We start from the raw sequence: 22,715 nt of genomic DNA on the forward strand, positions 1-22,715 counted from the left end.
TCAGTTTTCTAAAATTAAAATGAACGTTAAGGATGTGTTAAATTAATTCCTTACCTGAAGATTGTCCACCTGAACTTGCACAGCTTCTAAGGAGCCAGTCAGCAGACGGAATCGGGAAAGAGAGTATCTGGCCTCCATGAGGTAACTGTTTATCTTGTCAAAGGCCACTTTGTGACTACTCCATTGGTCAAGCACTGATTTCAGCAGTATCTTTAATTGTCCAACCTTTTGAAAAAGACAAATATGGCTTATAATTTCATAATATCTAGAATGATGGAATATATATTCAATTGATGGGAAAATATTAACATCTAAGAACTTCATCAGGGTTTCAGGTATCATAAACAAACAAAACTAAAAAGAAAAAGATTTAAAAGGTAAAATGTATCAACTTTGAAATTTATGCCTTCCACACTTTAAACACTCAGTTCTAAGTGGAAATGCTTAAAAGGGTAACTGATAAATATATATATATATGTATATATATACATATATACATATGTATACACATATATATGTGTATATATATATACATATATGTATATATATTTTTAAGTTATAAGAGGTTGATACTTTTAATAAAACAGTTTAAGAATTGTATTAAATGAGTGTTTCAAATGCATTAACTCATTTAATCCTCACAACACCTTATGAGATAGGTATGATCATTATCCCCATTTTATAGATGAGGAAACTGAGACACTAAGAGGTAATGAAAATTACCCAAGATTATACTGCTAGAATGTGAGAAATTTCAATTTGAATACAGGTAGTCAGGTCCCAGAAAGTGAAATCTATCTATAGCTATAACAATATCCATATCTATCTCACATATGCGCAAACACACACACACACACACACACGCACACACACACACACACTCAGATAAATATCTTAAGACAAAACATCTAAGATATTCCTTCCTCATAATTATTTATCTCTGTCAGAAAAGTGTTTAGCTTGGTTTGCATCACTTAGATACAGATATCCACTTTGTATATCTTTTGCCAGGCTGGAGACAGATGTTTGAGAATGATCTATTGCCATGGGAATGGATGAGATCATTAAGAGAGTAATGTTTAAAATAAAGGCTTATTCTAGAAAACACCAGAAACTAGACTTTAAAAAAAAAAAAGAGGATAACGAAGTGGACTTAAAAGTACAAGGAGATAATGTATAGATTTGATTATTTCCTCTGCTACTTTAGGAAAACCAAAACCCAGAGTTTGGACAGAGCTGGCAAACACGGTCCTGGAGCTGGCTTTCTGTGAGCAATATTACCATGTGATCTAAATTTGCCCAGGTTTGGCCGAGCTCTCGCAGTGTGCTCATGACAATGCTAGAGACGTCTTCTTTCTTGTTCTGAATCAAAGCAAGTCCATTCTGCTCAATTTTCTCTACTTCTTTTTCTTTTGCTTTAATCAAATCTTCCAGATCCTGAAAGATTTAAAAAATAGTCACTTTAAATTGTTCTATTATGGAACTCTGGGGTGCACTGAAATTGGGCCATTATAGTTTCATGTCCTAAAAACCTTTTACTAATCCAAAAAGCTTATCTCTTTCAGAAGAGGCACGCTGCAGAAGTACTTCTTCCTACACTCAAATGCAAAAAAAAAGTCATCTTTTTACACATGGCAAATTAGCATAACTTTAAAAAAGTAAAATTTGATATTCTACCAGATAAGGAAATGGTACTATGTAATTTTCTCAAGAGGCTGTGAGGAAAGAAATACATGTCAGAAACTGTAATATTATTTATATTATTAAGTTCATATATGTTGGTATTCAAAAAGTTACGCTGCCTACCTCATAGGAAGAAATGTGATCGAATGTGGTATTCTGGGCCCTAGTATCTGAGATTTAGTCACATTTCTACTACTCACCTACCCAAAGCTGAGTCACTTTGGGTAGGTGAGAAATTTCTACTGGGTCTCAGTTTCTTCAGATGGGAAATCAGAAGACTGACTTCAGATGGGAAAAGATCATCTGTATGATCCTCTCTCTCTAAAATACTCTGAATTCTATGTGATTCTGAAAGGCTTCAGGCTTCTTTGATGAATCAAATCCTCATTTTATTTGGGATATGCATTCATAATTGTCAGTATAAAATGTTCAAGAATGAAAAGCAAAATGAAGAAAAGATCTGGAGCTCATACTGAACCTGTATCATAACCCTAATTTCTATTTTAATGCCATCTGAAAATTTGAGAAGCTCAGTGAAGCAGACTGAGACTGCTATCAACATTTTATAAATAAATAAATTGAAGATCAAGTCATCCGACCTGTCTTGGGTAAAAGAGCTGGTGAGGGATGGAGTGGGGATTAGAACCCAGTCTTTGGAGCCTATGGACTCCCAGCCTGATGCCAGAAGGAGTCGGCTGAACCTCAGACTGTGGAGGGAATATAAATCCCATGTTGGGGTGATATGAAAAGCCAGGCATTAAGGCATGGTTACAGTCCCATATTCAGAAGTATACCCTCAGAACTAAAAGCAGATTTGTAGTTCTTGGAGATTCGAATGGAGAAAATTCCCAAATACTTTAACTTTGGATAACACCTCAATTGTATAAAAAATATTTTCACCCCCCTCATGATCCATACATGAGTAATAAGATTGAAATTGGATAGTGCTGCTGATAAGGTGTTAATGAGGAGTCCAGTCTCTGTTATATTAATTTCAAATGTCATGCCTCTTTAAAAATAATTTTTGCCTCTTTTATTTCTGTTTCTATTATGGTTCAACTTGTTAATCTCTCTCTACCTCATTTTTAAAATAGTAATAATAAGACATTTTCTCCTTACTCCAAGGAGATAAAATTAGGTAAATATATATAAAATATATTTTAAGCTGTCAAAAAGTAGCTAAATGCAAGATATTATTATGTTTAGCCATTTGGCAATGTGCCATGTTTCAGTGCAAATTTATTTATTTTTCTCTATTGAATTATCATGAAGCTATTTTTGTTTTGGTTAATTAGTTAGACACTCACGCATTTGGCAGCTTAAAGTGATCATTTTTGTTTTTCATATTGTTCTCTTATTTCCACTCTATAATTTTGTCACTATTTTGACAGCTTTGATAATTACCAGAGAATAAATATAGTGATTGCTGGGGTTACAGGTCCTTTGTGTAGTATAGGAAATATAATTAATTTACTATTTAGAACTTTTCTATTTCTGTAAAGAGATTAAAAGACCAGAAACAATCCTTCCAATATGTCTTTAATATGATTCTAAAATTCAACAATTAGAAATTGAGTTTATCCTCATTTTTCTATGATGTTAACTTTTTCTCAGTGAGGAATATTAAATGAATGTTCCATTGCTTAGAAACTATTTCTAAAATGCCCTGCACACGTATGTTGGTAGAAGAGCAAAACCCATGAGGGAAACAGGGCTGAAATATATATTTTATAAAAAATAAAGGTGTGTTTCCCTTGCTTTCAATAATAATTAAAAGATGATTCTGTTTCTGATCAAAAAGGGGAAAGGCCAAACCTACCATTTTTAAAAACAATAAAACATTCTTAACTTCGATTAATTCATAAATATCAGTTTTATGTTGGTTTAAATTAATAAATCACCTATAAAAGACTGGGAAAATACTCAAGATTTTTAAAACAAAATAAAGCTGGAATCCAGTCACCAATTTAAGTATACTGGCTTGAATTTCACACTTTGGTCCAAAAAACAATTTCTCAAAAATGACAGTTGTATCAAGACCTGTAGTATAGCCAAATAGAACCTTCCAGTTAGGCCATTGTGATTTATTTATATGCGTTGTCCCAAAATAATTATATGGGCTACTTTCATTCTGTCTTTTGTTTCAAAGATATGACTTTTCATTTGAAATCATGAACCGGCATCAGTACAAAGTTCTTTCAACCACACTTTAAGCTTTCCCTCCTGACACTGTCTGACCTGGCTCTCTGAAAGACTAAAACTTAGGTCCTACACTTGGTAAAACATGGTCAAGCTGCTGCTATATTTTCCAGATGGTAAGGTGTCTCCCTGTTAAATAGAAGAAATGAACAGGAGAAGAAACAAAATGGAAAATGGCAGAAAAAGCTATGTTAAAGAGAAGAAAAAAATACTAAGAGAGAGAAAAAGTAAAGTATGGAAGAAAAGAAGTGGAAAAAATAAAAGAAAATGCAAATGGTATTAATGTGGTATTTCAGTCTTTCAACAGTAAAGTTTATCACAACCATGCAACCAGAAGGTCCTCACTTTGCTAATTCTAATACGCAGAATTACCTTTCAAAATCAATGGATATGTTTTAATTTAGGAACTCAACAAAAGTTATGACATTTTGTCCTCAGAAGTAAAGAGCTGAAATTCTGGATTACTTGTAGATTTTTGAATTTATGGCCTAAATCAGAAATACCACTGGCCTCTAGAAAGTTGGAAATGCAATGAGACTAGCTGAGGCATGTTCTTCATCTTCAGTCTTTAAGCACCCATTTTCTGATGTGAGGCTTTTTTTTATTAAATAAAAAAACTATTATTACTTCAAGGTATTCTCTATACGATGTTTTTCTTTATCAATTTTATGCAGTCTCAAAATTGTAATCCATTAGCTGGGGAGCCAGCACTTCTCTTCCTTTTCAGAACCGAAAAGCTTTGATTAAGTGCTTAAATATACCTCTCTTTATATGTGTCCCAAACAGAAAACATAATGATTGGAAGAGAGATCATTACCAAAGTTCTTTCTTTCTGAAACCCGAAATAGAAAAACAAGATTTGCAGAGAGAAGCTTTTCTGTAGAATTACTTCACTGTTTAGTTTTCAATTGTTTTTAGGAAACACTATAAGGGAACAGTCATAATCTGTAACAATATATGAATTCATGAATTATTTTCAAAAATCTTATTACTGTATTAACTGCAATAGCTCACTTTTCTTTTGGGCACACAAGAAGACCTGTGGAAAGACTGTGTGTCCCTGAGTCACTGGAAAACATTTGGAACGTTACTGCTTCACCTGAACTTTCAATCCGCATCCCTCAGAGTAGAACAAGCACACTCTGTGTACTTCTCCATGTGACAAAAAAGGAAGTAACATGGATACTTCCTATTAATTAATAATGGGATATTATTAATAATTAATTAATAGGAATTCCACTGTGAAGTGCTTGTTCAGAGGAGGTGAACGGGAATCCAACTAAGCCTCTAGTGCTAACTTCCATTTATAGGACATACAGAGGAGAGAAGAACAAATTAAACATCTTAAGGACATTCATAGGCCAATCCTGAACATGGCACCCATCAACAGCTTCTGCGACAGGTTATGGTCTTAAAAAAATATTCAAAAGATTTAAGAGATCTAACAAGCAAATGTAGCATATGCATATTGTTTGCATCCTTATTTTGAATAAGTTAACATATAAAAGAAATTTTAAAGACAACCGAGGAAATAGGATTATGCGTTGAACATAAAATAATATTAGAAATTATTAAACTTTTGGTGGTGATAATAATATGGATGCATTAAGAAAATGTCTATTTTTCAAAGATATATATTGTATGTAAGAATAAAGTGACATGATGTCTGGTATTTACTATGATATCTATTTTAGAAAAAGAAATAATTTAGGCAATTTTTTTTTTCTTGGAAACAGGGTCTCACTCTGTCACCCAGGCTGAAGTGCCATGGTGTAAACATGGCTTACTGCAGCCTCGATCTCCTGAATTCAAGCAATCCTCCCACCTCAGCCTCCTGAGTAGCTGGGACTACAGGGACAAGCACCACCACGTCTGGCTGATTTTTGTAGCTTTTTGTAGAGAGAGGGTTTCACCATGTTGCCCAGGCTGCAAATCTTGACAATTATTAAATCTGATGCTCAGTATACAGGGTTCATAGCATTTCTCTCTACTTACGAGTATGTTTGAAAATTTTCATAATTTCAAATTTTTAAAAACGAGTGAAAAAAACCTAATGTATTTTAAAAAAAACCCTATAAACTCACAAAATCAGCAAAATTTGTTACTAAATGCAACTTTTAAATATTTAAAAAAATATTTAACTTGCAACTCTCAAGGCCTATAAACATATTAGCATACGCTATGAAATTGTGAGATGGTGCATGTTAGCCACCTGGACAAGTTACCTGACAGTCTTTCAGTGCATTTTGAACAGAAGCCTGATCTCCAATTCGATGCTGTTGTTTTAGTCTCTTTTCCTGGGTTTCAAACCATGTTTTCAGACATTGTACATTATTTTCATATTCTGACCAAGATTCCAATAAGCCTTCCAACAGCTGGATCTGAACAAACACAATAAAATGAAATTTGCAACTTTATTTTAATAAAATCAAATCATTAGCAGACTAATTATTCTAGCCAGTATTTTCTCCAAATTAAGAATTCTTAAAATACAGTTCATCGTATATATGATTTAAAACAGGGGTGTCTAATCTTTTGGCTTCCCTGGGCCACACTGGAAGAAGAAGAATTGTCTTGAGCCACACATAAAATAAACGAACACTAACAATAGCCGACGATCTAAAAAAAAAAAAAATTGCAAAAGAATCTCATAATGTTTTAAGAAAGTTTACGGATTTGTGTTGGGCTGCATTCAAGGCCGTCCTGGGCCGCATGCAGCCCGCGGGCTGGGCAAGCTTGATTTAATAAATGAATTTCATAAAGTATGAATCAATGACTATTACTGGGAAGCAAGAAAGGACTAAAGTCAACTTGAAGCAAAGGCAAAATAAATCAAGAGGCATCTTTAGAAAACTGAAACACCATAAAATATACAAAGAGCAGAGAATGTATAAGAGAAAATCATCAACAGGTTAAAGGAAGTTTAGGGTGATTAACCTTCAGCGGTATTATTGGAAGCGTTCTTTGCCCAGTATAGCCACGCTACTTGTGAACCCAGTCTTCCTTACAGAGTGTGCCTGTTCTTGGGGTTTTCATGTAAATCTGGACAGTGGGAAGCCACTGGCTTACCTTCTCAGTTACTAGACCTTGCAGAATTTGCCAACTTTTATTCATTGCTCCAAGTTGCTCAGCAAAATCAGTCTTATCACTACGCTTACTTTCCACATCCTGACTGCTGATTTGTAGCACGGACTGGTTCACAAAATCCACTGTCAGCTGTTTACAGTTAATGTCTATCTTAAAACCCTAAAAAAAAAGAGGAGAAAATAAGATTATACAATAAATGTCTCATTAGTTTTCCAGGAGTTGGAAAGCCTTAAGTAACCTTAATATTAATATTATCACTTCCATAACTCAGCTGAAATGGCACAATTTGTCTGTGTTCACACAACCCATTATTTTTAGAAGCCGAATATATATTTGTATACGTTTATATGAACATAAACACAGATATACGTGTGTATGTGTGTGTGTGTGTGTGTATATATATATTTAGGTAGAAGATTTAGAACTAGATAAATTATATAACCTCACTATAAAATATTTATAAATTTATTTTTATAATTTCTGTAATTCTTTAATAACACAAAATTATTCAAAATCATTCCTAGTACTGGATATTTCTTCTTATTTCTATAACTGATAATGCATTTTTCTTGCTATTGAATTCCTATCTGGTCACTGTGTAGGAAACATACATTCCAAGACTTGATTACCATAATTTGAGTTTTTTAGTTCTTTCAAATAAAATGGTCTGAAAATATGAAAAGTTAAAAACAAAAAATTTTAATTACCTTATATTTCTGAAGGTATTCATGAATTGCCTTGTAACCTATGGAATTTTTAATATTATCTTCATCCTTCTGAATAACATTTTCCATTAGAGAAATCCAACTCATGACTTCAGAAATGGCATGGCGGGAAGGCAGTTTATCCATCTGGAGCTGTCCAAGTCAGGGAGAGAACCAGTCCCAAGTGTTAAAATGGAAACCCCAACTTCTGCTAACTTAAAAACCCTACAATAATTCTTAAAAATGTACCAAGAGAGATAACACTCCTTAATGACATTTGGAGATCTTACCCTTTCTGAAAGCTTGAAGTTAAACATCAGGCAAATGTTGAGGAATAATAGTCATTTTATGTTCACTTGATATCCAATACTGTAAACACTGTATAAACATTAACTAATTAATCAAAGCACCAGAAAGAAGAGAATATTATTCTTATTTTATAACTAGTTTTATGAGTCTAAAAAAACTTAACCAGAAAACATTCAACAGATGTATTTTATTAATTATCTTGTAAAATCTCTGCATATTATGACTCAGGAATGTTAAAAGAAGAAAGAAAAATACCACACTACAAGCTATCATTTTCTAGAGTTTTTGGCACTCTAATCTTTATTCCTAAGAACATAGCCAATTTCCTCAGCCCTTAGCTGATATACACTACTTACAATTCGAAATCTTACTTAACATATCACACATTTATGCATATGTGTATTACGATGATTTGGAGGAACAAAAGCAATCATTTAAAATCTTTGTATATCAACTTCTGTGTGGTGCTGAAAGATATAGCAATGAACGTGGGTTGGTTCCTGCCCTCTGGGGGCGCACAGCTGTTGCTTAGGAGAGATTAGGCATGTACACAAAACACAGCTATCCTGCCTGAAACACAGTGATGAGTGTCAAAGAGAGATAAAGATAAAATGTTCTGGGATTTCAGGGGAGGTGGGTGTATTTTCAGATAAGAGGATTATTTACATCTACTGAATGCCAGTTGCTCTCCTATACATAAGATATTTTTAACATATATTACGTTCTAAATCTTCATAACCACTCACTTTATGAGAAAAGTGTATGTAACTGTCCACATTTTATCTGAGACAAAACAGAGTTTAAACAAAGCCAGACAAACATTCCAATACACATACCCACACCCACATACACACATTAAAGAAACCCTCAGAGGAAATGCCTTTGGGGCAGGGCTTTGTAGCGTAGTTCACTCTTTTTTTTTTTTCTGGAGACAGTCTCACTGTCACCCAGGCTGGAGTGCAGTGGCGCGATCTCGGCTCACTCCATCTGCCTCCCCAGTTCAAACAATTCTGCTGCCTCAGCCTCCCGAGTAGCTGGGACTACAGGCGCACACCGCCACGCCAGGCTAATTTTTTGTATTTTAGTAGAGACGGGGTTTCACCGTGTTGCCCAGGCTGGTCTTGAACTCCTGAGCTCAGGCAATCCACCCTCCTCAGCCTCCCTAAGTGCTAGGATTACAGGTGCGAGCCACCGCGCCCGGCCAGAGTTCACTCTTAATATTAATACAACGGGAGAGAGAAGAGGCCAGGTGTCTGGGACAAAGCTGATATAAATTTGTGAGCAAAAGCAAATTAATGTATTTCTCCATGTCAAATAGCTTAAGTCAGCTATTTCCCACGAAAGCAATCCTTTCTGTACCTGGTGGAGCTTCTCCTGGACGGCTGGGATATTGGTTAGCAGGTCAGTCCACTGGCTATCAATGCGCGACAGCTCAGAGCGCAGCGTGGCTGTGTCCACCTTTTTTAGTCGAAGGAGCTGATTTCCAGTACTCAGAACAGATGATTTCAGGGAAGATTGGGCATCCACTTCTTTAGAAAACTCCTGAAACAAGTAGCGATGTTCAAATTAGGGTTAAATAGCTAGACCATTCATTAAAAGGAAAGCGACCAATTTAGTGCATGAAACAATTTCCTTTACATCCTGGAGGGGGTTATGCTGAACACTCAAAAGAAAATGAAAGCAGTACACCCTTGCCCTCGAATGAAAGGAAACTACGAAGCCCCGACTTGAGAACTACTTGTAAGAGGCAGTGTTGAGTCACTGAGCCCTATTACTTTGCATAATTATGGAACACACATAGTCAACATTAATATATTCTCTATAGCTTAGTTTATTAAGTATATCCACTGATGGTTGACTTCCTTTCTTTTCTTTTCTTTTTTTCTTTTTAGATGGAGTCGCTCGCTCTGTTGCCCAGGCTGGAGTGCAGTGGCACAATCTCAGCTCGCTGCAATCTCTGCCTTCCGGGTTCAAGCGATTCTCCTGCCTCAGCCTCCTGAGTAGCTGGGATTATAGGCATGCACTACCACGCCCGGCTAATATTTGTATTTTTAGTAGAGACAGGGTTTCACCATGTTGGTCAGGCTGGTCCCGAACTCCTGACCTCGTGATCTGACTGCTTGGCCTCCCAAAGTGTGGGATTACAGGTGTGAGCCACCGCACCCGGCCTGACTTCTTTTCTACTGGTGTATGGGTCAGGCCTAACTTATAGGCCTGAATCAAATGCTTTAGATTCTTAGACTTACCAGGAAAGCATTTAGATGATCACGGACCATTTCCAGCTCTTGTGGGACTGTCACAGATTGCTGAGTCCAAAATTCTAGCCGGTCTTTTGCAGATTGTAACCAGTGAATTAGATCTGCAGATTCACTTTGATATCTGTTAAGTATATTATGGAGTCCATTAAGTAAACATTTCATCCCTATCTTCTACTCACCTACGTTACTCACCAATGCCAACAGTTTTAAAACGAGAGGTCTGAAGATTTAGAAGAAAAATGCATGAGGTTGGCACTCTGAAATTTTCTTCATATTGATACCTTTATCAAGCCTGTCTCTCTGGGTTTCCGCTGGCCTGTCTTTAAGCTGGGTATAAAAATACCTTTCCCCTACTCTTTCACATTGATGCTACTTAGAAAATATTAGATGATGGTTACAAAAAGTCCTTTGAAATAAAGGCGGCTTAGACACAGACTATGTCATTATGTAAAAATCAACCCTCCACCCCGCTGAATGCTTCCCATTGCCCTTGAGAAGCTTCTGCTTCTCAATCCATGTTTTCTCTTTCTCTCCCTCTCAGGCTTTACTGTGATATCTCAGACACAGTGATTAGGCAAGGGAGGGTGAAACTCAAAGGTAAGGTGCCTTATGCATCTGCCTCCCTGCTCACTTCTAATTATATGTTTATATGAGTATACAAGAATCCAAGTGGGGACTTTCTACTTTTCTTTTGTTTTTGAGATGGAGTTTCGCTCTTGTTGCCCAGGCTGGAGTGCAATGGCGCAATCTTGGCTCACTGCAACCTCCCCTTCCCGGGTTCAAGCGATTCTCCTGCCTCAGCCTCCTGAGCAGCTGGGATTACAGGCATGCACCACCACGCCTGGCTAATTTTGTATTTTTAGTAGAAATGGGGTTTCTCCATGTTGGTCAGGCTGGTCTCGAACTCCTGACCTCAGGGGATCTGCCCGCCTCAGCCTCCCAAAGTGTTGGGATTACAGGCGTGAGCCACTGCACCTGGCCTCTGCTTATCTTTATTTTCCAAACTATACAATACGTTTCTAGAGGAGCCATGTCACTTTCAAGTGAATATCTACTTGCCTTATTTATTTATTTATTTTTGAGACACAGTCTCACTCTATTGCCCAGGCTGGAGTACAGTAGCATGATCATGGCTCACTGCAGCCTCAACCTCCCAGGCTGAAGCAATCCTCCCACTTCAGCCTCTCCAATAGCAGGGACCACAGGCATGTGCCACCATACCTAGTCCTTTTGTAATTTTTTTGTAGAGATTGGGGTCTTACTATGTTGCCCAGGCTGGTCTTGAACTCCTGGCCTCAAGCAGTCCTCCCGTATTGGCCACCCAAGTAATGAGATTATAGGTTTGAGCCATCATCCCCCACCCGCACTAGCCTTATTAATACAATGCAGCACTTATCTAAAAATATACAAAACAGTCATTGTATTACCTGGTCCAGTGTTTCAATATTGTTTCCAGTCTGTGAAGTTCCTTAGACATTTTATTGGTGTTACTTAGCCAGCACTCTCCAAGTTGATTTAGTTGGCTTTCTAGATCTGAGCAGCTGATGGATATCAGAAGTCGTTTCCCATCATCTAATACTTGATATAATTTGGGCTGGTATTCATTAAGGCTAGATTTTAAATGCTAAAATATTGAAATTATTGAGTTAAAAGTTTGGATATGCAATTTTTGTCTTTAAGAATTATAATTTCTCTGGTACCTACAATGTTCCCATTACCTGTTATTCAAACTTAAACTATACTCACTCAAGTAACATTGAAAACTTTAAGATGTTTCATCTATATTTAAGTATAGACAGTCTCCTTTTGTTGTTTATTATTTTTTTTTTGGTAATGACTTTAGGTGGATTTAAAACTGTCAAATTATTATTTCAAGAATTGTGTGGCATCAGCATAAACTACAGAAAATGCTTGGTGGAGGCTGAATTTTCAAAAAGAGCTCTCAGTAAAAAAAAGAAAAAAGAAAGACTTTTAATAATGTCCAACTATAAATAACAGAAACATTATCTCCTTTCAATGTCAATAACTTGAAAGAAAAGTAAAAGTACTAATAAAATAATTGATCACAAGTTTGTTTACATTCTGTTAAAACTATTGGTAAGTTTCTAAAGGCAATGTGGCGGCTTGTAACACCAACCTGGTAGAGTGTTATGCGGTCAATAAGCCTGTCCTCGTTCTCCTCCACCAGACCCACGCTTGGGATGCTGCTTTCCACCACCTCCAGCTGTCTGCTGAGCTCCTGCTGGTCCTCATCCAGATGGGACCACGTCTAGAAACACAACATGAGTCTGTGAGCTAAAAAAACCCTCATTAGCGAAAGACATTCTTCCTTGGGTGCAAAATACGTGCCTGACAGTCTCTCCTTAAAGTTATATCAGAGATGTTTGCGTTGGGCCTTGCTTTGGGAAGCAAAAGATGGCTTTAAAGCAAGTAATCAAATGGTGACCCTTGAAAGCATTGTGAATGGGCTCTGGAATCTGCCACTAAGCCCCTTTACAACTGTGAGTAAGCTACTAAACTCTGTACCTCTTTTCCATACGTTACAATGGGGATAATAATAGCTATCTTCTCCATCATGAGGATTAAATGGAATAATGTATGCAGTGTACCTTCTATTGGGTATGCACTTTTTTTTTTTTTTTTTTTTTTAGATAGGCTCTCACTCTGTTGCCCAGGCTGGAGTACAGTGGCACAATCATGGATCACTGTAGACTCGAACTCCTGGGCTCAAGGGATCCTCCTGCTTCATCCTCCCAAGTAGCTGGGACCACAGGCGCATTCCACCACACCAGGCTAACTTAAAAAAAATTTTTTTGTAGAGATGGGGGTCTCACTATGTTGTCCAGCCTGGTCTCAAACTCCTGGTATCAAAAGATCCTCCTGCTTCAGCCTCCCAAAGTGCTGGGATTACAGGCATGAGCCACCACATCTAGCCCAGGTATGTATGGTTTTATTCTTTACCACAGTAAGGATTTAAGTCAAAAGGATGGGGATGTTTGCCTTTCATGTAACGAGTAAACAAATCAATTACATTTGCATATGAAACATATCTATAAATATGAATATATAGTTTATATATTCTGTTAAAGAAAAATACCACATCACTTATTCCTAAGTTCAGACTTTTATTTTATTTAAAACTGGAAAACACTTTTTAAAAGATCAGTTGAAGTCTTTTCCAGTAATTTACGCTGTGGGTCAGCAGTTTCTCAGTGTGAGTATGCTCACTTCACTGTGCAGTTGGAGTGGCAACAGGGCACAGTAGTAGAAACCCATGCTTTTTAAATACACTTACCAAATATCTATTGCCTGGTATTTTCAATGCCTAGGGATCTGGGAGTAAATAAAACAGACACAAACCCAGGCCTTCTAGTGAGGAGAGACAGGCAATCAATAATAAACAATAAACCAAAAACAAACAATAAGTTGTATGGTATAATAGAGTTCTTGTGCTGTGGAAGAATAAAACAGAACTGGGTAGGGGTGGGAGGGAGTGCCCAGGTGTGTGCCTGGTGGGGCTACAATTTAAATGGTGTCATCAGGTAAGTTTCATGGAGAAACACACATTTCAGGTCGTGAAGTCAGACAGATGAAGGTGTGATCTCTGACTTTGCCACCAATTAACCACGTGTCTTGGCAAACAGTTGCTCCCAGACTCATTGCTGAAACAGGGATTCAAAATTCTATCTCAAAGGGTTATGATAAAGATGAGATGGATTCATGTAAATGTAAGAAGTCTTGCCAGGGACCTGACATGTCAATAAAGTGTAACTATTATTACAGAGATTTCAAACGTTAAAGGTAGATGTCTCTCCAAAATATAGGGAATTCCACATCAGGGAATTCCACATCTGGGATTTGGGGGTTAGCTACCTATGAAAATGTTGGCCCAGGGAAAATCCCATTTAGAAAAAATGCAAATACGACCTGCAGGCAACCCAGTTAAGATCAGTAATATTGTGGGAGTGGGTGGGGAAGTCCACAAAGGGGAGAGAGATTATAATCTCTAAAACTTCCAAGGGAAAGAGGAAGAATGAGAAAGCAGGAACAGTTTAGGGCAACTGGTACAGTTACTGAAGAAAGAAAGGGGACTGTTCCATCAATAATGTCCTACATTTCCACGGGGTTCTATAGCTTGCCAGTAGCCACCACTGAGCACTACTCTGTTCCAAGAGCAACCGCATTTGGGACAGAAAAAAATATTTCTACATTTTACTTTCATTTTTTTTTTTTTTTGAGACAGAGTTTTACTCCCGTTGCCCAGGCTGGAGTGCAATGGTGTGACCTTGGCTCACTGCAACCACTGCCTCCCGGTTCAAGTGATTCTCCTGCCTCAGCCTCCCAAGTAGCTGAGATTACAGGCACCCACGACGACGTCCGGCTAATTTTTTGTATTTTTAGTAGAGACGGGGTTTCAACATGTTGGTTTGTTTCATCATGTTGGCCAGGCTGGTCTCGAACTCCTGACCTCAAGTGATCCACCCGCCTCAGCCTCCCAAAGTGCTGGGATGACAGGTGTGAGCCACTGCACCTGGCCTATTTCTACATTTTTCATACTCTTAAGTAAGCTATCAGTCTGAATATCAAAACCCCAAATATCTTCATGCATAGTCTGAAGTCAGTGTGTATCTATCTTACTTTCGACATGGCACAGCAGATAGCCCAATGTACACAGAAAACACAGGGGGAATAAGCAACACAGAACCATAGGAAAAGTGCAGTCCTGAGCCCGAGAGCGCAGCTAGTTCTGAGGTTATGTGAGGCAAACTGCATGGATAGATACATCTTGCATTAAAGGTCTATTTTGCAGCAGGAAGTTTGCAGCACAGAAGATATGACATCAATGGTCTCACCTCTAGAATGTACTCCAGCTCCACACCCCTCTTGTGAGCCCGTTTCAGTACAGCAGAAGCCTGAGCCATCAGCTCTGTATGGAACTGGGTTTCCTTTTGGACTGCAAAGCTGATTATCTTTCTGAAGAGTGTTTCAGTCAAGATCATATGAGATTCCAGGCCCTGAAAGTATTCCTGCAATTTTTCAGGAAGAAAGAAGTCAGCAACTCATTCATATATTATGTTAGAATCAAAATTGGTTTAGGGCCGGGTGCGGTGGCTCACGCCTGTAATCCCAACAGTTGGGGAGGCTGAAGTGGGTGGATTACCTGAGGTCAAGAGCTCAAGACCAGCCTGGCCAATGTGGTGGAATCCGTTTCTACTAAAAATACAAAAATCAGCCGGGCATGCTGGTGTGTGCCTGTAATCCTAGCTACTCAGGAGGCTGAGGCACAAGAATCGCTTGAACCTGGGAGGCCGAGGTTGCAGTGAGCCAAGATCGTGCCACTGCACTCCAGCCTGGGTGGAGAGGAGTTCACACCAACCCAGCGCTGGAGCTGAGTAGACAGCTCTGCATTTCTAGAGGAGAGTGAGGAGTGCGCGAGGAGTCCTTGACCAGGACAAGGGAGGGCAGAGGGAGCAACTAGGACCAGGTGTACAAAGGGGCAAAAAGGAAACACAGGGAAAGGTAGAGGTAAGAACGAAGGTGGGCTCCTTTGAAGACAGGCTCTGAGTTTTTCTTTGCCAGGACAGTTGGAGCTCTGGTTGGAGACTCCATCTCAAAACAAACAAACAAACAAACAAACAAAAAACATTGCTTTCCTTCCTCCATGGCTGGGCTTGGGCTCTACTTTCTGAACTTCTAGGATATTTGCGTGCTCATTCCATGTTGTCAAGCACAGCTTTATATGCACTGATTGATATTATAAATTTGCTTTCCTTGTATTATACCTACACATAACATAACTGTAGGCCTTGCGCCATCCTACTAATGTTTTTGAAATGTTACCGTTTGTGTATAATAGACCCTGGAGAATGGAGATTGAGCTTATCTCATTTCCTGTTCCCAGTACCATGATAAAATGGAAGAGCTGGCAACTGATAATGACAGTTAACATTAATTATGTGCTTACTGTTTGCTAGGCACTCCATAAATACTTTATCTGACTCATCTCATCCTCCTAACAACTCTATAACTCTATGAGATAGGCAGTTTTGTTTCCAGTTTTACAGATGAGAACACTGAGTCCCCCCAGTCTATGTAGCTTGCCCAAGGTCACATAGCTAGTCACGGCAGAGCTTGGGGTTCAAACCCAAGGGCAGTGTGGCTTTATCTGTGCTTCTCACCAGCACTGCAGAACTCTCCCTCAGAAAATGGGCTGGTGAGTAGAAGCTAGAATCATTATTTTTAACCAACAATTACCAAATCAGAGTCCTAAAGTTGGAGGAGACTTTGAAGTTCATCTAGCCCAACATGCAATGAAAGCTGAGATTCCTTTTACAAGCCCATCTCCCCTAAAAGCCTTGGCTGGACTTCTCATGGCCAGAAGGGCTGTCTGCTCAATGGCAGCTTACTCCTTTTATAGTTCTTTTTCTATTGAGGTTTATTTCCCTGTTATTTATACTCATTGATCCTAGTTTCCCCTCTGGAATAACTCAGAATGATCTTTTATTGCTATGGTCAACAACGTGAGAAACACCAGCTGTGGACTTTAAAGCAATGTTTTCAAAGCCAAATGATAAGGTTTTAATAAATCATGAAGCTTTGGACAAAAACGTCTGGGAAAAAATAGGAACGACAATTTGAAAAAGACAAAAAAAACCCACCTTTACAAGCCACCAGAGAGCTACACAATGGTAGAAGATTTTAAACTTCTATAACCCAATGGGATTTTTTTAGTTTCCCTACAGGAAATTCCCATAGTCTAGAAGGCTGGGTTTCTGGACTGGCAAAATTGCTTTCGTAATCATTGCCAATAATGCAAGAGCTGTGTGTGTGTGTGTGTGTGTGTGTGTGTGAAATACGCATTCTTCTACCATGGAGTAGTGTCCAACCTGAGCTTGGCTGTGGCACACAATGATGGAGTGATTTCGGGCCTCCCAAGTTTGATTACATAGTAAACGGCCTTGCTGTTCCCAGGGAGAAAGTCTGAAGTCTACAGCAACTAGAGGAGCATATGTGTAAGGGTCAGAGGATCTAAACAATGCATGTAAAAGACACCAACCCAACCCTGGATCTGAGTAGTCAGCTCTGCATTTCTAGAGGAGAGCAAGGAGTGAGCGAGGAGTCCTTGACGAGGACAAGGGAGGGCAAAGAGGGTAACTGGGACCAGGTGGACAAATGGGCAAAAAGGAAACACAGGGAAAAGTGGAGTTAAGAATGAAGATGGGCTCCTTTGAAGAGAGGCTCTGAGTTTTCCTTTGATTTTAGCTCATCTAGGGAGAAAGCCTGGCTAATACTAGTGAGGAACTGATAGGTAAAATTACAGGTAAGTTGGTTTTCTTTTTTAATTTACAACATTATAGAAACATATCCCCTATAATTTCTCTGTGCTACTGAAAGCCAGTGGGTTTGAATATAAATTTTTTGGCCATTTTTAAAGAATAACTTATACAAGTAAGAACTCATAAAAGACTGAGAATATTAGGTTTTACTAAATATATATCAGGGTTTGAGAGCATGCTTTCCAATTACATTTTCTCTCTATCACTCTTTTTTGTTATGTACCTTATGTTTGTCAAGTAGTTGCTGGATTTCCTCTTTGGAAGACACGATGATTTTCTGGTCTCCTGCCATCTTCTCCTGACCAGTTTCTAGCAGGTCAGCCAGATCTTGTAGGGCCCTCTCATACTGACTCTTGAGTGTAAGGTTCTGATTCAGACCACTCCTCCGGGAGCCAATGATCATCATCAGCTCATCATACATGTCCTAAGAAGCAGAGACCACAAGACTCACTCTCAATTCATATTCTGGCAACCCTCTAAAAGCATATGAACTATGAACGCACCAAGCCCGAGACCCAACCAAGAAAATGCCTTCAGGGATGTGCCTCCTGGAAACGCTCTACCTGTAGGCCATCTGCTTGTCTTTCTATGAGCCTTACTTTGAAAACATGTTTCACAAAGAAATGACCTTTGGACCTCTATTCTCATGCCTATGATATTCGTTGTGACTTTACTGTGTCTTGATACCTGGTGGTTCAAGTTCTTTCATTAATCTTATTTGGTATTCTTATCTTGCTGTTTTAAATTTTATTTTATTTCTAACGGACAATAAAGCACAACGGAGAAACTGAAAAAAAACTGAATTCATAAAAATGTAAGTATGAAGTCACTGAAAGGATAAAATAAATATTCAATAAATAATGTGGAAACAACTCAACTCTTTGAAGAAAAATAAAGTCTTATCTCATGCCACATATCAAAATGCAATTTAGATTGATTACAAAATAAAAATTTAATAAGTTAAAATATGAAAGGAAATAAAGATATGTCTATAAAAAATAAGGTTAATATTTTAAGATTTTAAAGGACATGTAAAAGTGTTTCCTAGAAATGATACATGAGGTAGATTTGACAACTGTTTTCTCAGGATATCAATAGTTTATGATAAGATGTGGGGTAAAACTGTTGAAAAACTGTCCATGTGGCTGAGGGACATGTCATAGAAAATGTAATTCCCATTTTTATAGTATTCTCAACATTCATATAATTTCAGAGCAATTGAATATAATATCCTTAACATTTTCCTGCTAAATAACAATCATATTTGGGACTACCCCTCAAACAAAGAGCTAGAGAAATAGGGGAGTTTAATGTGAGCAGAAAGAGTTTCAAACTTAAGAAGGCAATATTTTTGCCAAATGTGGTGGAGTATATAACTATTTAAACTGGAAAGACATTTTAGGAGATGATGACACACCAAACACAAAATTTATTTGAGGCATACGGACCTGATTAACATATCACATTAAGGTTTAGCAGGCCAAAATGGTTCAATCTGGAAGAGTTCAATTTTAATGCCTATTTACGGCAATGACATTTGACTCTTACACCTGATGCTTAAGTGCTGTCGGAAAACTGTCTAAAAAAGTACAAAGTGGGGGAGGTGGGCTTATGATATTATGAAATGTTAGATAAAGGACAGATACAGTTAAAATAAAAATGTTCTTTTGTTTATAAGGTCTATTTTATTTTCTCAAAGAAAGAACTCACAACCCTGTACTGGACTGAGGTTACCAGTTCTCAATAGTTCTGCACACAGAGAAAATCTAACATGTGTGTCTGTGTGACTGTACACAGTTGTACACAATTTTTTCTTGATCGAACATAACTGCTTGCCTAGTTGATGCTAAATTTTGTTGGTCTAATATCCAAGGATCTTCTTCCTACCCCAATATCAGATTCTTGCCTAAATGTCAGATCTAGCAAAGGAAATTAACCCAAAGCATTATTCTCTGTTCCTGAAGGATGATAGGAAGTCTGTTTAGATTTCAACTACCTTCTAGTTTAATTTTTGTTGTTGTTGTTCTAGAATTGAAACAATGTCTCTATTCCATTCAAACATATATGGAGGATAAACTATAGTGCTTGCCTTAGAAAAAAACACTTTCTACAAAGTATTACTTTGATTATTTGCTTTTTAAAATAGTATTTGAAGACATAGTGCAATACGAGGGTAGATATCCCTTTTTTAAATTTTTCTAGGTAGGATTAAAAGTTATTCTATTTTCTACAGTAGAAAATAATATGCTACAACTAAACTATACTGTAATGCTTAACCATGAGAATAATAATAAAGTAACTGTCAGAAAAACATATGAATCTTAGCAGCATGAAAACAACTCATTTCCTTGTACTAAACATGTTAAGCTTCAGAAAATTTTCTAAGAGTTGCTTGGTAGAAAGGTTAGGACCTAAGTGGCGTGAATTTTATAAAGAAAGCCAAGAAAAATAAAGTGATTTTTTCTAGACTTCAAGTTTGATGTACCCCTGCAGCTGAATACTACTGGCTGAAGGCTGCACCTGGAGCTTGGAGAGTTCTTGCATGGACGGCTGCTCGACCTGTAGCTTGTCACCACGCCTCTTTAATTCAATGATTCCTGCATCAAATTCTTTGAGTCCATCTTCAGCCTGTTGTATTGCCTAAGTAAGATCCATGACATTTTATTAAAACTCCCATGAACAATTTCCCCACGGAAGATGTGATTATTGTATCTCTTTCTGTGTTCCTCCTCTCCATGTAAAACATTCTCAATATATACAAAAGGAATCATTTCAATAAAACAAATCGAAAGCCATGTTCAGAGGGTATATAGAAAACAGAAGAAGTCCCCTCATTAGTACAGAGCAGTTATCTTACAGATAATGAGGCAGGAGAAAGTCAGGGTAGAGGGCTGGGAGAAGGATGTCTTGCTTAAACAAAAAAGGGAGTTTTGAAAAGCAATAGTTAAAAAAAAGAGCATCATTTAGGACATAGTTAAAAAAAGGTATTTGCCTGAGATTTTCTAAGGGACCATGTTCTGCTGTCCTTGAAACGTAGCTGTGAGCATCTTTGGAGAGAGATTCAGCGAGGCAACAAAACATATATTACAGCATGGTCAAAGAATCTGTGCTCCTTGTTGTGAAGTGGAAAATCAATCAGTCAACAAGTATTCAAGTGGCTGCTATTGCTAAGCCTTGTCTTCCCAGTGTGAGGTCTGTAGAAGCAGAACAAGATCTCATCCTGTCCTTCAAGGAGCTGATGGTCTGGTTAGGAAGCCAGAGTAAACAGAGAAAAATAAAGCAAGGCTGAATATAAGTAAGTACTATACTCGATAATGCAACTCATCCCCATTAGCAGAGATCAGAGAAGGGAGATACCAGACCACAAATCCTGGAGCAGCCTAAGCAGGCGTTTGGAAAGAGGGCAACAGAGGTTGCCCCTGAAGGAGGACAAAAACAAGACTCCAGATGGCAGCTGAAACACATGTGTCCAATGTTCTCTTTCCTGAAAACCCCCTACAGTCAGAGTGAGTATTTTGTTTGCTTGTTCTCTGGCATATTTTTTCCCCATAAATCTAAAAGGACAAGGGAACAGAAAAGAAAACAATGCCAACAATATGTTGGGAGCTAGAAGTCAAAAGAATACATGATAATTGACTTAGGAAATCTGGGGAAGCTGAATTCTAAACCAGTGGAGGATCTCCACCACCCACTTCAGAGCAACAGAAATCTCTGGAACTCTGGGTGAAGTAAGCTGGGGTGCTAAGTAAGGAGGGTTAGTGAAGAGCTGCTTAAAGGACAGTTAACCCACAGATGCCCCTCCTTATTCCATACTGTCCCTTTTTCTTCCCGGGTAAAAGACTGAAAGTGTGTTCTCTGGAGAAGGTAAAACAGACAGAGGGGCACTGGACACAGCTGTGAGCTTGAGTGCTTGACTGAAAGCAAGGGATGAAATAACTGGATGCTCCCTGCATGCTGAATGTGGGGCCCCTGAGTCTTCTCTCCCTGGGGCAAGAAGTGCTGCAGTCAGGGCTCTAGTCTCCAGAGATGAGAGGGAAAAATATCTGAACACACCAATAAGACAGGCCTGACAATTTGACAGAAGGATTCTCTAACAAATAAATGGTCCATAGAGACCATCCTGCAGGAACTCTTAAAATTATCATGTTCCATCCACACACAGAGTTCCCTTTCAGCTGTTTAGTCCTCCATCCTAAACCTGAATAGGCAACAAAAGATTTCAATATGCCTTTCGATGACATGAAAGATGGGGACTAACAGAAGCAAACAAATAAAAGCAAGCTGGAGGAAAACAGATTATACAGGAAAAGTAGAACTTTAAACAACAAAAAAAAAACCATTAATATACCCAGAAAGATATAAACGATAATGTATTCATTAAAAAAAATAAAAAATACTACAAAAAGGATCATTCGGAGAACCAAAGTGAGCTCCGGGAAAATTAAATACGTGAGAGCAGAAATGCCAATTCAGTACAAGAGTCTGGAGTTGAAATTGAGGACGTTTCTCAAAAAGCGGAGCAAAAAGACAAAGAAAGGTCTCTTGGTAAGACAGTTCAAGGGTTGAACCCGAGTATCTGACAAAAAGGAGTTCTCCAGAAAAGAAGACAGGTAAAATGCAGGAAAGAAATGTATTAAATAAATCATTAGAAAATTTTCCAGAACAGAAAGATGAGAGCTGCCAAATCAGAAGAGTCCCTTGAGCTCCCAGCCCAGTGGATAAAAATAGATCCTCCCCAAGGCATGTGATTGTGAAATTTCAGGACACTGGAAACCTTTGGGAATTAGAATGTTTTTAGATTCCTTAAGACAACACTGAGAGCTAGAAAACAATGAAGAAAAAGCCTTGAAACTCCAAAAGAATTCATATTCAACAAATGACCCTGAAGGATCACATAAAAACAGCAAAGCGATCAATAAAGTGTGAACATGGTATAAGAACATTTTCAGACATACATCTGGAAAAATACACTTATCATGTACCCTTTCTAAGAAAGGACATGCACTAACGAAACAAGGAAGCAATGCAGTAAAGAGAAAGACTTGGGATTCAGAAGAGAGAAGATCCAACATAGGAAGAAATGAAGGGATTCTCAGGATGGTGGTGAAGGGAAATCCAAGAAGACAACTGTGCACCAG

General features: G+C 38.0%; 1 protein-coding gene across 49 annotated transcripts in view; it reads right to left on the minus strand.

The window, feature by feature from the left end:
* SYNE1 (spectrin repeat containing nuclear envelope protein 1) overlaps positions 1–22,715 on the minus strand; it is a 515,676-nt gene that overhangs the window by 102,753 nt on the left and 390,208 nt on the right. For 48 of the 49 annotated variants that reach the window (XM_047418508.1, XM_017010610.2, XM_017010609.2 and 45 more), the window contains 12 exons: positions 20,098–20,217; positions 17,801–18,001; positions 15,094–15,267; positions 12,378–12,509; positions 11,668–11,864; positions 10,229–10,361; positions 9,342–9,524; positions 7,677–7,826; positions 6,952–7,128; positions 6,108–6,263; positions 1,282–1,437; positions 55–225 (listed from right to left, as the gene is read on the minus strand). In XM_047418508.1, the coding sequence (XP_047274464.1) occupies positions 55–225; positions 1,282–1,437; positions 6,108–6,263; positions 6,952–7,128; positions 7,677–7,826; positions 9,342–9,524; positions 10,229–10,361; positions 11,668–11,864; positions 12,378–12,509; positions 15,094–15,267; positions 17,801–18,001; positions 20,098–20,217 (1,950 nt within the window). Of the gene's footprint in view, positions 1–54; positions 226–1,281; positions 1,438–6,107; positions 6,264–6,951; positions 7,129–7,676; positions 7,827–9,341; positions 9,525–10,228; positions 10,362–11,667; positions 11,865–12,377; positions 12,510–15,093; positions 15,268–17,800; positions 18,002–20,062; positions 20,218–22,715 lie in introns of those variants that run through there. The other variant, XM_047418513.1, reaches the window with a different exon arrangement.

This window comes from Homo sapiens, chromosome 6 (genome assembly GCF_000001405.40).
Source record: "Homo sapiens chromosome 6, GRCh38.p14 Primary Assembly".
NCBI lineage: Eukaryota > Metazoa > Chordata > Mammalia > Primates > Hominidae > Homo > Homo sapiens.